General features: G+C 42.6%; 1 protein-coding gene across 2 annotated transcripts in view; it reads right to left on the minus strand.

Moving 5' to 3' along the window:
- The window catches only part of TACR1 (tachykinin receptor 1), a 153,058-nt gene continuing 146,600 nt past the window's right edge, over nt 10,964-17,421 (minus strand). The window contains exons 4-5 of one of the 2 annotated variants that reach the window (NM_001058.4): nt 15,752-15,948; nt 10,964-14,224 (exon numbers count right to left, since the gene is read on the minus strand). In NM_001058.4, the coding sequence (NP_001049.1) occupies nt 13,933-14,224; nt 15,752-15,948 (489 nt within the window). In that variant the 3' untranslated portion in view covers nt 10,964-13,932. Of the gene's footprint in view, nt 14,225-15,536; nt 15,949-17,421 lie in introns of those variants that run through there. The other variant, NM_015727.3, reaches the window with a different exon arrangement.

Genomic DNA, 17,421 nt, shown 5'->3' on the forward strand with positions numbered 1-17,421 from the left:
TAACACCAGCCTGTGTGAGACTCAAAATTCTATTGTGAAGTTTCTGGAATCCAGGGATAAAAGACATGCAATGAATATTACACAACTCAAGATCAGGAAGGAGGAAGTACAGCGGTTTCCCAGTAGAGTCAAAATTTTCTTGGCAGTAAACTTCAAAAAAAAATTCTCATGCAGAGATTATTTAAGGACTGTGGTGTGACATTGTGGCTAAATGGACTTATAATAGCCCCTTCTTCCTTAGGGATATATGAAGATTAAACAAAGCAGAACATGCTGAACCCTTAGACTTGTGATTGACACATAGTAACCTCAAATAAACATTCACTATTGTCATCAGCATGATCTAAAATTACATATATATTACATCGTTAAGTTAATATTGTTTTTAATAATTTAATGGTTAAGGTCCTCAATAATTTAATAATTATTAATGTAATTAATTACATTATTTAAAAACAATTTAATAATTATTAATGTAATTAGTAAATACATTGATGCATTAATAAACACTAATAATATTCACAATAACTGTTTTATAGCAAATGCAGAAGCAGTTTGTATTAGTTGTTTTTAGCCAAGAGCACAGTGAAGGTGTCCAACAGGAGCCACAGCTAATGTGGTCCAAGCATGGGGCTGCCTCATAGGATCAAGTAACAGAGCAGAGGGGACCTAGAGGAATAGCTGGATTGCACAACTCCTAGACAACACATCTCAGATATGGTTCTTGGCCATGCAGTAAGCCATGAGGATCCATCGGGTGAGGAGGGAACTAATTTAAAAAATACAAATTAATTAAGGGCAAAGATGTGCAATTCTAGAGACTTTCAGTAAGTTGCTTACCAGTAACTACTAAGTGAAATATTAAGGGTTACTAAAATTTGGTGTTCAAAAAACTCACATTAACATTATACTAAAATTTGCTGAGGATCCTAATTCAGCATTCTACCAAGAAGTCTGGCTACTCCACAGTGCTTGATAACACTGCAAAGATCAGAGAATGGGAGGGCTTCTTATCAGTTCATCATTAGCAGTACCCTGAGTTTATTGGACTTTTCCTTGGAAACTGTACTTGATTTTTAATGTATTAATTTATTTTTCTGAAGTTCGTTTGGCTAGCCCCACAATGGGCTATGATGTATATTTGCATTAACAGTATTGCTGAAGTTACTGTTTGTATGATCTTCTCAAAATGTCTTTGTTCCAGGGTGTTGTCCTCATGGAATTTTGTCTACTGGAATAGCTTTCTCTGACTAAGTGACCAGTCAAAAAAATTTGAGAGCCACTGCCTTAGATTTTCTTTTCTGGGTATCACATCTCTCAGTTAGACTGACTAGCACTTGGAGGGCTATCACTACATGTTGCTCTGGAAACCAGCAAGGATGGCGTAGGGTTGACTTCCTAATGTATGTGTGGACCCTGTGATGTTCCAAATGACCGGATGTAGTTTATACAGATTTATTAAAGTTGAAAGCCTCTCTCCAGTATCATTCCCAGATGGAAGTGGGGAAGTCAGCCTGCTTCTATACAGAAATGAGCCATGGTGATAATTTCAAAAAATGCCAGATTTGTTTTCTTTCTTAGAAAGAAGTTTGACCTATTGATCTACTCTAACATTGTTTGTTTGTTTGTTTGTTTTTAAGACGGAGTCTCACTCTGTCACCCAGGCTGGAGTTCAGTGGTCTGATCTCAGTTCAGTGGTCTGAGCCTCCGCCTCCTGGGTTCAAGCAATTCTCCTGCCTTAGCCTCCTGAGTAGCTGGAATTACAGGTATGTGCCACCATGCCTGGCTAATTTTTGTATTTTTAGTAGAGACAGGGTTTCTCCATGTTGGCCAGGCTGGTCTCAAACTCCTGATCTCAAGTGATACACCCACCTCGGCCTCCCAAAATGTTAGGATTATAGGCACGAGCCACCATGCCTGGCCTGATCTACTTTAACTCTTGAATGAAGTCCTTGATTCAGTTACCAAGGGTTATATTATCAAACATGGCAGAGAAGATGGTGACTTAGAAAATTTTCAGCACTTCAGTACCATGTCTGTAATAGTGTACTACAACTGGTCTGTACCACCTTGTGAGAGTCAATTGTCCATTTTTTTAGAAATTTATTGAGATGGTTATTAAATCATTGGTAGTTTGAAATTGGCCACAGTGGTAATATTTACACTGGGAAAACCAGCAACTGTTACAAAAATATTTTTTTCCAGAGAGCCAGTTATTAAATATTTACCAGCATATCACTATCTGGGAACCATCTAATATTAAGCAATATAGTCTCCTTGTGTACCTCGGAAACTCAAAATGGGGCTTACCCATCTTCAAATAAGGATAACTAATTATTTTTTCCTAATCATAGAGCTATTTCTCTATAAGTAATATTTAAACCTTCTGCTAGCTTCACTCTAGAGACATATTTCAGATTTGGATCTCTTAATTGAATATTTGGTATGAAGAGAAAATAGATTTCAAACACAGCTATAATATTATCAGCCCCTATTAAACTTCATTCTATCTCAATTATTTACTCACTCATTTACTGTATTTACTCAAAAGATATTTATTAAGCTAATCTAATCTAAAATCAGCACTTTGTGCCTGATACATGCTAAGAAATGGGTGTACATTGTAAAGCAAAACTAAATTCCTTGCCATAGGATTTACAGTCTAATAGAGATTACATACTTTAAAAAAGTCATACAAATAATTTATATTAGAAATTGTGATAATGCCATGAAGGAAGAGAACAGGATGATATAAGAGAGAATAAATATGGGGATCTATTTGGAATGGGACTGAGGGTGATGGGAAACATTTCCAAGAAAGTAACATTTGATCTAGGATTTGAAGGATAAATGGCAGTTAACCAAGCAAAGATGAGGGGAAGTTCATTAAGAAGATGACAAAAAACCAAGTAAGACCCTTTGTAGAGTTCATCAATCTATCCTCAGGCTTCAAATTCATGGACAGAAACTATTTTTGTGTCAAGATGTATAATCTTGGCATAGTTACAATGCTTTTGTAAAACTTGTACAGTTATTCTTTCAAAATTAAGCTGGGTGAAGTTGGTGTTGATCTATCTTTTTGTGCATACTCATGTATCGTTACCTTGAAATTCTCATAGATAAATTAGATAAGGATTAGTGTTGTAACTCGTGGTAATTCTGGGGATGGAAGGGTTGAGTGGAACATGGTTGAGTGGAACATGGACAAAATATAATCCTGGTCTCTAAGTCTGATCCAGCTAGTAAGAAAAATACCACAGACTTGAATAACAGACATTTTTTTTCTCACAGTTCAGGAGGGTGGGAAGTCCAAGATCAAGGCAACAGCAGATTCAGTGTTTGGTGAGGACTCTCTTCCCTGTTCATAGACAGTTGTCTTCTTGCTGTGTCCTCACATGACAAACAGGAACAAAGACCTCTCTGGAGTCTCTTTTATACGGATCTAGGCTCATTCATGAGAGCTTCATCCTCATGATCTAATTTCCCAAAGGACCCTCTTCCAAGTACCATAACATTGGTGATTAGGTTTCAGCCCATGAATTTCGGAGGTGGGGGCAAAAACCTTCAGTTCATTGCACCTTGTTATTAGAGCAAGGACCTAAATTCAGAATAAAAGACTAGTTTGAGTTAATATTGAGTGCCTTGGAACTGAATTAAGATCTATTAAATTTCCCATAAGGTCAAGAATGGCTCCAGAGCCGCTTTGGTCAAACAACTCCCTGGAATTGTGTACTCCAGTATGATCTTTTTGGAAATATCTATTTCTTCTGCTCTTGATGGTGGGTTTCACATGAGGTCACAAAAAGGAACATGTCTTGAAACTCTTGGCCAGTGTTTCTCAAAGCCTGATCCCTGTATCAGAATCAGCTGTGTGATTTGTTTAAAATGTTGATTTGGAGGCACTGCCCCAGAACTACTAAATCACAGTTTCTAGGGAATCTGCAATGATTATTTGAAATCTTCTGTATACTTATAGCCCTGTTCCACAACTTCCTGCCTCCTTCCTAGTAGAAGACCTTGCTTTCTGCATCTCAGAAAAAATTGAAACCATCAGCCAGAAGAATTTCTCTGATATCCAACCATTGAGTCTGCTAGACTGCCTTCCCCCTTTGTCTGCCATCTTCCTGCTGTACTCTGCTTTCCACTGTCCTGCTTTCTCAGAAATTGTCCACTAATAATTCTCTGTTTTCTCTCCTGTGTATTCAGCTGTGCCGTCTCAAAAGGATTATCCTTCGAGGCAGGAAATTATGTTCAAGTCTATTTTATTGAACAACAAATACAAATTTAAAATATCTCCCTTGGTCCCATACTACCTCTAGCTACCATCTTCTCTGCCCTCTACTTCTAAACTAGCCTTTTAGAAGGAGTTCTGTAGGTTTGCATTTCTATTTCTTTCTTCATCATGTGTTCATTCTTCAGCTCACTGTGATCTGCTTTTAACTCATGACTCCTTTCAAACAGCTCTTGGTAAGGCCACCACTGATCTTTTTATCATTAAACTTACCAGGCATTTTCTATTTCCCCTCTTTCTCTATTAATTCTCAGTATTCAACATCACAGAAATCTTTTCTTGGAATATTCTCTTTCATTGGCCTCCAAGGCATCACATTCCCTGTTTTCCTTTCTTCTCTCTGGGCACAATCTGACTCCTCTTCTACTTAGCTATTAAAAGTTGCAGTTGATTACCCAGTGCTATCACACTTGGCAAGTTTATTCATGCCCATAGCATCGACTGCCATCTGTAATTGAACTGCAAATTTATATTCTCAGCCCAACTGCTTAGTTGATGCCTTCTTTGACGTCTAAAAGTTATCTCACATAGCATGTTTAAATCAAACCCATAATATTTCTGCTTCTCTCCTCTCCCAAGCTTGGTATCCCAAGTGTTCTTTGTTTCAATAAATGGTGGCATCATTCAACTAGTTACATAAGAAAAGCCAAATTCACCCTTGAAGCCTCCCCTTTCCTTACAGCCAGTGCCATCACCAAACAAAAGTTTCTCATATAGTTTCTAAAGACTTCTAAAATCCATCCATTTCCTACCCATCCACACCCACCAATTTAGTCCAAGACCCCATCTCTTCTTCCTTGAATGATAACAATTGTCTTCTAATTTAGCTTCCCTTCAGCTGGAGTGATCTTTTCCAAAAGCAGATTGATCCTACCACTTCCTAAATCTTTTGGTGACTTCCTTTGCTAATTCTTATCATGGCCTACAAGGTTCTCCAACACTCTCTGCCTCCCTCTTTTCCAGCCTCACCTACTACGCTCTCCTCCCTCTTCCAAGCAGGCACATTGTTCTTGTTTTTTCAGTACCTCAAAATGCTATATTCTCGTTAGTCACAGGACTTTCTCCACACCAAGTCTTTCCCTTCTCTGTCTAATGAACTCTTGCTCTTCTTCAGGGTCTCACTTTCTCAGGGAAGATTTTCCTGACCTCAAGTTGTGGATCCAGTTTTTTTGTTATTGTTACCGGCTCTCATAAAAGAGCCTTTCTTCCATTAATCATCCTTATCTCAGCTGTTAATTATACTCTCATTAGTGGGGTGATTTGATTAGCATACATTTCCATAAGCCTGAAAGCTGTTTTCTAGTGGGAACCATGTCTGTTTTTACTCCTGTTGCATCCTGATGCCAGCACTGGGCCTGGTGTGTTGCAGGAGATCAAAGAGTGAAGGAATGAAGAGCTAGGTGCCCTGGCTCGAAGGATGCTTTATATTTCTTGTCACAGGGGTCATCAAAGATTATTTCTGGTGTATCAAAGCACCAACATTGCCCTCCGTCCATGGGAATGAGTTATATTCTGTGAAGAAATATTTCTAGGGTTTTGATAAATACTTGTTGAAAGAATGGATTTTGGGAAATCTCACAGTTAGCCTTTCTCTTATTATGTAGCCAAAAAGGAATATGCAGATACTGTGTACCCAGCTCCTAACCACATGCTGGAGGCTGTTCCTGTCATCATGATATATCATGGAACCCAGTACTGTTATCTAAAGATGGTTAAAACTGGGAAGAGTTGTGGGTTATAGTTTTTTTTATTATTATTTTTTACTTGTTAGAAGAGAAAAATCTATCTGACTTCTGCTGTTTTTGTCTCAGTTGCTTTTTAATTTCCTTCTCGCTCTTTCCCACTGCCCACATAAAAAATATTGCTCTATTATATAGACTTCTTTTCTTGCTTGGATATGAATCTGAGTTGAGCATAAAAGGGAAGCTGTAAGTAATCAACAAAGCCATAAAACTGGGTTGAATGTTAGGATTGTATAAAAATATTTTCCTATAAAATGCTCTGGGAATTGTTTTAGAATTTAGGAAACACAAACAATTCCACTCTGAGTTGGACACCACTCAAGATTAGGGCCTCCCAGAAGTCAGCCGCTATGGCATATGTCTGAAAATCTAGAAAGTGAAAGTGTTAGATTTTAGTTTTGATTTGGCAAATTTCCATAAAGGAAGACTAAAACAGGAAGTAGTAGGTGGGGGATAGTGAGCTTCCTTCCTTCAGAGGAATAGAATTAAAATGTTGGAAAAAATAACATTGGGAATATCCAGATAGGGCAAAGTTGAGAAGTGGATTGGGTGGTAACCCCATCTCCCTACAGCTCCTCCCACTGTCTCTCTTCCCTCTGGTGGTGCTGACCCTGCATCCATGCACTCAGTCAGCTTCTCATGCCCAGTCCTTTGAGAGGCTACCTTGACCACGTGAGGCAAGCCTGCGTGTTAGGAATCCCCTCCGTTCACCTGCTCATACTTCATTCTTTCCTGTCAAAGCCCCTCCTCATCGACTTTCCAGCCCATTTTCTGTTTCTATTTTGCCTACTCTGGTGGTGCCATGCGCCGTCTGCACTATAATCACTGACATGCTTGTTAAAATGCAGATTCCTTGGCCTAGCCAGCACTCAGGATCTCTGGGAATGAGGCCAGGAATCCAGATTTTGGCCAACTTACTAAGTAAATTATGCACATTAGGGTTTGAAAACCATTCACTTGGTCCCTTTAGTTTTTAAATTCCTGGTTCCTTTGCTTGGGTACTGAGCTTACCTTTCTTTCCTGAATCAGCAGTCCTGTGGGCAGCCTTTTAGGTAATTTTCTGGCTCATCTTAGCCTCAGGACACCCTCATTTTCTCAGGCAATCAAGCAGTCCCACTCCACACTCCTGACCCCAATATCTAGGTGAGTTTGGCCTTATGGGCAGGACAGGGATATCTAACTTGTTAGTTGTAAACATGAGATATTATCCTGCCCAATGACATTTGTCTTTCTAAAAGAAGACTTTATTCTCCAAACAAATAGATATCTGGGGAATTTTGTGCACTCAAGACTAAATGTACCAAGGTTAATTTCAGTGGGAAATCTTGACAAGCACTCTTCAAATCATAGTTAGAGTCTGGCTGCACATCTTACCTAATCGTAGGGATCACTATAGTGACTGTGAAGACAATTTACCCTTTGAAATATTTGTCCAATGATCTAATGGGTTTATGGAAGCTTGCTGCTTCTTGAAATACTACCATATCAACTAGCTTCCTGGCAATGTGTGTAGGGAGGTCATGCCAGCCTGTGTTGGGTCATCTTTAAGAAAAGGATAGAGGTCCAGGAATATGATAAATAAAAGAGACAGAAGAGGATCTTTCTTAAGACCTTGGGCTTTTGGAATTGGTCATCACTGAGATTCACTTCTGGCAAAGAAATTTCAGAGAAGTTACTTCAACTATGCCCCATTGTTCTCAAATTAAATTAAGGACAATGATACTGATTTCATGGAGTATGAGGATTAAATGTGATAATGCACATACAGTGCTTGGCACAAGATCTACAGAGTAATGCCTGTTGTTATCGTAGTCATTATTATAACATTTGAAATGGGGAGAGGGAAGGAAGCAGTTTTGTTCTTCCACTTTTCAGAGCTTCAAACTTTTGGGAGCATACATTTCTATTTTCACTCATGTGCCTTTTCCTCTATGAAGCAAGGACCTTGGGGGTATCTTGCACTGTGTGTCTTTTCCCACCCCATTTAGTATACAGATGAACACCCAGGCCAAAGAGCTCTGCAGCATGAGGGGAACACACAGGAAAGGCAAGGGCCGCCTGCCCTTGGTGATCACTGGGGATGAGCTCTGAGGTCCTGCATGCTGGTGTAGAACAGCTGTAGTGCCTTCTTCTGTTCAGCTGCTTCTTTTTAGTGTTGGGACCAACTTGGGCATCCTGCTGTGAAAGCCATCTCAGTTTGGGAAAGTGGGTGAGAGGGTTAGGGAATAAAGGGAGAGTGTGGGTGAGTGACTACATGTGATGGGTAAGGGGCTTTGGAGAGATGGATAACGGGAATTTGTGAGTAGGGATGGATAGATTCTCATTGTCTTAGGTAGCTGGGGCTGCTATAACAGAATGCCATAGACTGAGTAGCATAAACAATAGAAATTTATTTCCTACAGTTCTGGAAGCTAGAAGTCCAAGGTCGCTGTGTCAATATGGTCAGTTTCTGGTCAGGGCACTCTTCCTAGTTTGCTGATGGCCATGTTCTTACCTTGTCCTTCCTATGGCAGAGAGCAGAGAGAGAGACACAAGCTCTCTTGTGTCTCTTATAAAGGACTAATCCCATCACGAGGGCACCTCCTTCATGACCTAATTACTTCCCAAAGCCCTTGGCTCATCACATTGGGTGATGGTTTCAGCATTTGAATTTGGGGAAGGACACAAAGCTGCAGTCTATAACACATATCAAGTCTTCTATTAATTAGTGCATCAGTAAAGCATCTAGAGTAGTGAGATAAAACCTAGAGATTTCAGCATAGAGAGCGTTGGGAGGAGAGGGCTTCCAGGGTTGGGAGCAGTGTCAGATGAAAGAGTAGAAAACAAACAGAAACTGGAAGTAAAAAGAAGAAAGAAAGGAAGGAAAGAAGGTGGAAGAGAGAGCAAGAGAGAGAGAGAGATACACAAAATGTAGGGAACCTAATTTTGAATCTGTATGAAAATCTCTGCAGCTACTGGAATATGTACAGCTAACATGCCATCAGATAGTGACTGCGACAGGGCAGCTGGCCCTTAGGGTTCATGTCATTGCTGATGTTGTTTAGTCACTTGTTTCTAATTGTCAGTCTTTTCCCCTTGCAAGCTGCCCAGCTTGAGAGAGAAGCCAGGACCAAAGTATGCAACTCCTTGATGCTGAATTTGGTGCTTGTGAGATATGAGGCTCCATGGCCTCCGTCCTCTTCCTCTGTTTTCCTGAACTGGGTAGAAATAAATAACAGTGTCTCAGAGCATTGCCTGTGGGGTTCAGAGAAGCAATTTCTACAATCAGATGCTCCTTTCACCTTTGAAGATGAAGGAGAAGAACATACTTGGTGTGTCCCCACCATACCCACTGTGCTGGGAGCCATGACTGAAATACTGCTCTTGGATTCTGAGCTCAGGAGCTCCATTAGAGAGTATTACTAAAGCCAGTTGTGGTGCCCAGCGCTGAGCACTTTCATTGTGCAGGCAGGCCACACATGCCTAGGAATAAGTGAAAACGACTTTGCCTCTGCACGGGAATGTCTGCACTCCGCATCCTGTGTTATTTCTTGATTTATAATTTCTTCAATTCGTAGTCTTCCCTCAGCTAACAAGTGAAGAGTGAGCATACCCCTTCATCATGAATTTGGCGTTTTTACTGCCACAAATATTTTAAATGACATTCTACAGCTTTAACTCATCTGAGTATCTGAGGTGAGCTATGATTTTATTCCAAAGCTGTTTCTAGCTTCCCAGCAACCATTCTGGTTCTCTCGGGGCTCATCTGCCTCTCACCGCTCTGAAAGTCTCCAGTTCCTTGCCACTCTTTTATAAACAATTTAAATTGTCTCCTCCTCCTGGGGAGCAGAGGGTGAATGATTTCTTTTGAGAAGATTCAGCTTTAATTGCACCTCTTATTAAACACACACAATGTTTGACATATGATTTGTGGGGATCTTGGAGGGGACTTGTGGATTCCTTAAAGCTTATCCACATACCCCTATTGAAGATGCCTCAATTTAAATAAAACATCTTTATTACTTGTTTCTGATACTAACTGTGTTGGATAGTCTATCTTCTCAAAATTCCCTCTTTCAGTGCCTTTGCAGTTGTTGCCACTACAATTCTGTTACCAGCTGCTTATTGTTCTTTTGATGGAGCTGCTAGGGGTGAGGTGGCACAGAGGATAGGCAACCCAAGGTGTAGGAGGCAGACTGCCAGGGCTCACAGGGATTATCACTGATGTTTCAAAGCCTGCCACAGGTTTCCTGTCTTGTGTTTTCAAACACAGGGGGCTGGATCAAAGCTTGGGTGGTAGTTGTGGAGGTACATGGCTCAGATCCCTCTTTGAGGAAGAATGGCAGGGCACTTGGCTGACAGCCTCCAGCTGCAGGGCTTCAGCATCCACCATGGTGTTCAAACACAGAACACTTTCCCTAGAGAGCCCCAGCCAGCGGCTGAGCACGGCAGGGCATCAGGCCTGGCCATTCTGTTAACGTGCAATGTCTCTCTGGGCAATCTTTGCACGTGTTGGGCTGGGAGCTGCACCACAGTCTGAGGCTCTTCCTAACCACCCCTTTTTTCCCAGGTGTCAGATTGGCATGGTGGTTTGAAGGCTGTCCCTGAGTACTTCTGCTTTCTTTCCCCTTTGTCTTTCTCAGATGTTATTCCCCCCAACCTCCTGTCCTACGAAAACTCTTGTGCTTATAACTCTGTTGTGTCTGCATCCTGACACAGCTTTATTCATAGGCAACATCACTGTCATTTCGCATAATCCCACCTCCCTTCCCAGATCTCAACCTGGGAACTGTTCCCACATCTTCCCAACCCATTTCATCACAGAGTTAAGAGTTTACTGAACATTGATTCCATCCTTCTAGCTATGCAAGTTATTAGGGTTTCTAGTACCATCCCATTTAGCATCCTATAGGATGTTTAGGACCCCTAGAGAAGAGACAGAGGCACGAGAGAGTGAAACACATACTTTATTTCTGTATAAAGATTCTTTCCAGGAGACCAGGCTGGAAAACACGGAAACCTCAGGAATGGCCCCTCTCCACTTATACTCCTCTCCTCACAAATCAGGCCAATGAGGTCAGTTCCTGAGTCCCCTTTCTCCAGGATTCCACTCAGTCCTTGTCTCTTAGTGTCCTGTTGGGGGATAAGGAGGAGAAGGACTCTTGTTCTCTAGCTTCTCCGATAAAGGCCCCCCCACCGCCCCTCAATTACTGTGGTCTAGGAACTGTGAGTTCATGATATACATCAGGGCTCCTCCCTGAGAAAGCATGAGGAGGAAGAGGAGGAAGAGATTCACACAATACAAATATCACAGTGACAGCAATGAGATCTCACATTTTGGAAGTCACGTAACAAAGATGGTTCCTTGATATTTCATATTCTATTACTACTGGACATTACACCAAGTAAACACACTTGGATAAACACAGGGTGATGCATTTCTAGAATAAGAATGTGACCCATGCACAGTACAAATCATGGTGTTTCTTACATGTGGGAGTTGATGACATTTTTATAAGTTAGTGGACATTGGAGACTGGGTCAGAGGAAGGCTTGCTGGCACTGTCCAAGCAGATGCTTTGCCATATTGGAAACTGCCCGGACCACCCAACATTCCCTCTTACTATGCACAGAGATGATACTGTTCAACCAAATTCCTTTAGGTCCCCTGGACTGACTGCCAGCTCCCTTTGGAAGTACCCCAGAGAACTCTCATTCCAGAGGCTCTCCAAAGGTCCCAGTCTTTGGCTTGACTGCCCATGTTGAGTGTGGGTTTTTAGAATTCTGTGGAGAATCTGTCCTCTCAGATGCCTCCAAGACTGCTGGGCAGCTTAGACTCACTAGGACTGGTGAGTTAGTTAGTGATGGCCAATAAGGTAGGCTCTTCAAGAGCTGCAGGGGCTGTGTGTTCCCAGTTCAGGGCAAAGTCCAGAGGAGGCACTCAGTTAATCCTCGTTGAGCTCAACTCTAACCTTCTCTTCCATAGATGGGGTGTCCCCAACTTCTTGACACCATCTTCTCAGGTACTTCTCATAATCATGTTAGCTCTTTACATTCTTCCAAAGTGAGTAATCCATACACAGCAAGATTCTCTATTGGAAGTATGACTAATGCTTAGGGCACTAACTTTTGTTGCTTCTAAATTTTGTCTTCCATTTATATATCTGCAATGATCTGGCTTCACTTAGTTTATTTAAAACTTTCCATGCTGCTTTAGAGAATGTAGTTCTTGAGGTTTTCTGGCTTATACTGTTTCTTCTTCCCCCAGGCCTGTGGATGCCCTGGTAGAATTAGAGCCAGCAGGGCTGGCAAAGGCTGTAAACCATGCATTATTCTCCCCTTAATGTTATGGATGCGGCACATGTGCATCCATTATGCAAACTACCAGGAGGACATTCATGGATGTTACATGAAGCTTCTGCTTCCAGCCATATCTGGAAAAAACACAGATTTGGGAGACAGAAAAAAAAACAAAACAAAACTGCATGCTCACCTTCTGGAAACTCTAAATCTAAATTAGGATATAAAGCATTCAGTTCATGGCTCTTGGAAGACTGACTGTCCTTTAGGGTTGATGAGTCATTCTACCCCTTAGAGACAGGAAGCTGGCAAAGCCATGGAGCAGGGAGGAGACATTCAGAGAGTCTGAAGGGAAGATGCAAGATGCCCTCTTCCCAGAAGTGCAGCTGCAAAGTGCAGCCTTCTTGCTTGTCGCACATATGAGCACGATGCTAGTGTAAAACTAAGAATGAAGGTTAGGGCCCCCACCCTAAAATACCCAAAAGGTTAAAGCAGGGAGCCCACATTTGTCTTCTCTGACAGTGTTCTGCAGCTATGAAATTCTGCCTGCTAAAGCTGGATGGATGCAGGCCTTGGCATGAAGTCCTCTGCTCTGTCAAAAGCCAAAACCTTCCATGAGAAGGAATGTACTCAGGATTTTAAGATAAATCGGAGAATGTCTGAGATGGATAGTTACAGATGGCCTTAGCAGTTGCTACATCTCCAGGAACTGGGTATTAGTTACAAGACTCACTGCTCCTATTCTTTTCTATTCTTTTATTCTTCGTTTTGTTTTTTTTTGTAAAACAAACAAAAAACTCATACAATCCTTGAACCACGGGATGTTAAGATTCGAAGGAACACTTAGATTATCTAGTTCAGTCCCCTTGTTTACAAGTAGGAAAAGAGGGTCAACTACACATTAAATGTAGTGCAAGTCTCCCAATTCCTGGTCTGTAAGAGAACTAGCAGGTATCAGTGGACATATTCTGCTTGCGTCGGCTGCTCAGGACAGTCACCGGGGACATAATGTGGAAGCCCGAGGTTCTCAATCTCATGATGTATAAATGTACTGAAATACTGAGATGCCAAAAAGGGGAATACATATGTTTCTTTTCACAGATGCTTAGAAGACAGGGCTAAATTTTTCATTTAGATGTTATGTGGTGCCTTCTTTTGTTCACCCTGTCAAGCGTAGGCTGGGGTGATAGGAGCCTCCAGCTGCAGGAGGCTAATCTGAGATAACTTTATTGAAGTAACACGGGGCTCCAGGAAAATGAGTCTTCCGGGTCCGCAGCTGTGCTGCAGAATTCATCCTGAAATGAGCACTCGCATGCAGCCAAAGTCACTTCCAGAATGGAATGAATGGGCTTTTGGGAAAAGCTGGTCCGACCTTTTATTTTACAGGCTCAGCAAAGTTCAGTGATTTGGTTTGAGTCACACAGCATGAGGGTGGCAAAGATAGGGAAGAATTGAGATTTTTTGACTCAAGGATGGAATGTTTTCCCTAACCCATACTGACCCTTTTTGCAAGTCCCAGTGTGAGGGTGTTTCTGATGGTTCCAGATGAAGGGAATTTCCATGCATGAAGGGAGGCAGGTCAAAGGCAGTGGGGGCTGCACCTGCCAAAGGCCCTGTGGCCTAGGAGAGCACATTGGAGGAGAAGCTGAAGCTCTCTGTCATGGTCTTGGAGTCACTTCGTGAAGAGCAGTTGGAGGTCAGGTCCAGGGACGAGGGTGTGGCCTTGGGGCCGTCCTCTGGCTCCTCCTCGTGGGCCCCCACCACTGTGGAGATGGTGGTCTCCAGGCGGCTGACTTTGTACACACTGCCCTGGGTCTGGAGATACCGGGTGGATTTCATTTCCAGCCCCTCATAGTCGCCGGCGCTGATGAAGGGGCAGCACCGGAAGGCATGCTTGAAGCCCAGACGGAACCTGGAGAGCGAGCAGATGAAGAGGTGACCCTTTGGGACGGCCTGCTCAGAGGGCTGCCCACCACTGCATCAGCTTGTTAACACATGGACATACCCAAGCGTGATTCTGTTATTGTTTTTAAAATTCAATGACAGCTGGAGATGCTGAGGCCAAAAAGGCTTAAGGGTCAGTCAACAAGGTCAAATCCAAGACTAGAAAAAAAAAATCCAACACTGGAACAATCTTTATGTGAAATACGTCTTTACTGGGGGTGGCCCTGAACTATGCTGTCTCCCCTCACATGGGGTCAGCAGACTTTGAGTCAATTCTACCTCAACAAAACGCATTCACCAAGTGTTTACTATGTGCACAGCACTGTGCTAGTTACTGGGTGGTAAAAACACATATCAAGATTCAGTCCTTCCCCTCGAGTAGCCTGTTAACTGAAGGAGGACTCTCTGCCAATCATGTTTCTTCAGTGTGCCTCAGTTTCTCTGGTTGTTAAATAGGAAGAATTAACCTTTACTTAAAGGCGTGCTGCTAGACTTAACCTAAAAAAAGTGTAGGTGGGTCATGAAACTCTTAGAAATAAGGGTGAATGTGTCAGTTAGACTAACAGAGACCCTTTGGACAAGTTGAAGAGAATGTCTTTCCCCAAATTTCTAGTACCTGAGTGTCTAATTCACAGAAGGCACCTTACAGGCTGAGGACTGATGGATATAAAGATGGTAACAAGCATTTTATTCCTCTCCCGCCTCCTTCCCCATCCAGAGGCTGGTGGTGCTCTGGATGACAGACTGTGCTGCAGCCACTATGTGTCCCTGCCTGCTTTTGGGAGCCCTCTGCACCCCATGGTGAATTCCCTAATGCTGACCACCATTCTGGATGGGCTCTGCCTTCTCTTACTTCTCTGACATTGGCTTCTGCCATCTGCAGGATGGCTCTCCCCAACCCCTTTGACTAAGTGAGGGCAGGAATCAGGCCTCTGGGGTCACAATTCCTTTTTGCCTTACCTTGTCCTGCTGGAACTGCTGGAAGAAAATGGGTAAAGCTGCTCAGATCGTAAGATGGAATGGGAAAAAGACAGTGAGAGATCAGAGAGGGCGAATGTGCTCTGTGGGGGGATGAAATTCTCTTTCTGCATGCATAGCCCGCTGTGTACTGGATCCATAGAGCAGAGTGAATAAACTCACAGGCCATGGCCTGGAGCCTGGATCCAGCTTGCAGACCTGCCTTACATGCATTAACCACAGAAGTTTTTAATTCCCCCACTAGCTGCCAGTATTTATGAATCAGAAGACTTTGGACAATAATATGGATTTCTGGTTCCCTTTGGAAAAGAAAAAAAGAAAATCAGTCCACTCCGGGCTCCCATTCCTGGATGGTGATAATCAGCCAGGCTGAGTTGTGTGATGATAAGTTAGCTGCAGTCCCCACTTGTCCCTCTTGTCTCACAGCTGGGTTTACTCATTTAGGATGGCCGCTTGGCCACTGTGTATGTAGATGGTCTTGTGGCCCCTGGAGAGCTCATGGGGTTGGGATCCTCACCTGTCATTGAGGCAGCAGTAGATGATGGGGTTGTACATGGTGGAGCTCATGGCCAGCCACATGATGGCCAGGTAGACCTGCTGGATAAACTTCTTCAGGTAGAGATCTGGGTTGATGTAGGGCAGGAGGAAGAAGATGTGGAAGGGCAGCCAGCAGATGGCGAAGGTGCACACCACGACAATCATCATTTTGACCACCTGGCAAGAGGGTGAGACAGGTGAGACCACCAGCACATCCCCCTCTCTCACGGCTGCTTCCTCTCTCCTCCCACGCCCTCACTGTGCACAGTATGGGATGAAGCGAGAAGTATTTAAAAGACGCCCCTTCAAGGAGGAGAAAGGATCTTTACTATATGGTGCTACAAGACTTCGGTTATGTCAGCTGTTCTCAGAGTGTGGTCCCAAAACCAGCATCATCACCATCCCCTCAGAGCTTGTTAGAAATGCAAATTCTTGGACCCTATTTCAGACTTACTAAATCAGAAACTCTGGGGATAGGACCCCAAATTCTGAGTGTGACAAACCCTTCAGATGATTCTGATGCATACTCACATTTGGGGACTACTGTGTTACATTATTCTTCATGACTGGAGGAACACAGGGAGACAAATTAATGAGCAAAGGTGAAAGGGTGTTCAGGAGGAAAAGGCCTGGAACAGCAGGCTGGGTGGGCGGGCACAGCAGAAGGGGTGGGACAAGGGGAGATGCAGTGAGCTAGGGCAAGCTGCTTGGTTTTGAGACTGAAGGGGAGGGAAGGAGAAGGGAAAAGATTTGACTAGCTGCAGTCAGAGAGTGCCAGATGTTTAAAAGCGATTTAAAAGGTTTTGTGAATACTGGATACTATGATCTGAATGTTTGTGTCACTTCAAATTTATATGTTGAAATCCTAACCCCTAAGGTGATGGTATTAGGAGGTGGCCTTTGGGAACTAATTAGGTCTTCAGGTCACAGCCCTCATCAATTAAATTAGTGCCCTTATAAAATAGGCCTGAGAAAGACCCCTTGCCCCTTCCACCATCTGAGGACTTAGAAAGTGCCATCCATGAACCAGGAAGCAGGCCCTCCTGAAACACCAAATCCGTCTGTGCTTTGATCTTGGGCCTTTCAGCCACTAGAGCTGTGAGAAATCAATTTCTATTTTTTATAAGCTCCCAGTCAAAGGCATTTTGTTACATCAGCCCAAATGGACTAAGACACCATGCGATGTAACCCCTTCCCAAGGCATCTTTAGCAAAGAACTCTACAGCATTCATACAATGCTATGCAGAGAAGTACCAACAGAGAATACTAAGCAAAGAAGTACCAAAGAAAAAAAAAAGGAATGAGAAAGCTCTTTATATACTGATTTTCAAAAATCTTGTCAATTTTAAGTGAAATAAGTGAGAACAGTGTGTATTTACTATTTGTGTAAAAAAGAAGAGAAAATAATATATATTTACTTATTTATAAGTGCCAATAGCTAGAAGGGTTAAGAAACAGATAACAATGGTTACCATTGTATGCATATCTGTGTGTGTGTGTGCGTGTGTGTGTGCAAGCTTGGGACCTGGGTAGATGACAGATCTAGAAGGGAGAGAGGCTTTCCATGATAAGAATTAAATTTTTTTAAATGTTTCGTTTTGAACTAATTGAAGGCCCTCGAGAAGTTGCAAAGGTGGTGCAAAGCAGTTC

The sequence above is a fragment of the Homo sapiens genome, chromosome 2 (assembly GCF_000001405.40).
Source record: "Homo sapiens chromosome 2, GRCh38.p14 Primary Assembly".
Taxonomy (NCBI): domain Eukaryota; kingdom Metazoa; phylum Chordata; class Mammalia; order Primates; family Hominidae; genus Homo; species Homo sapiens.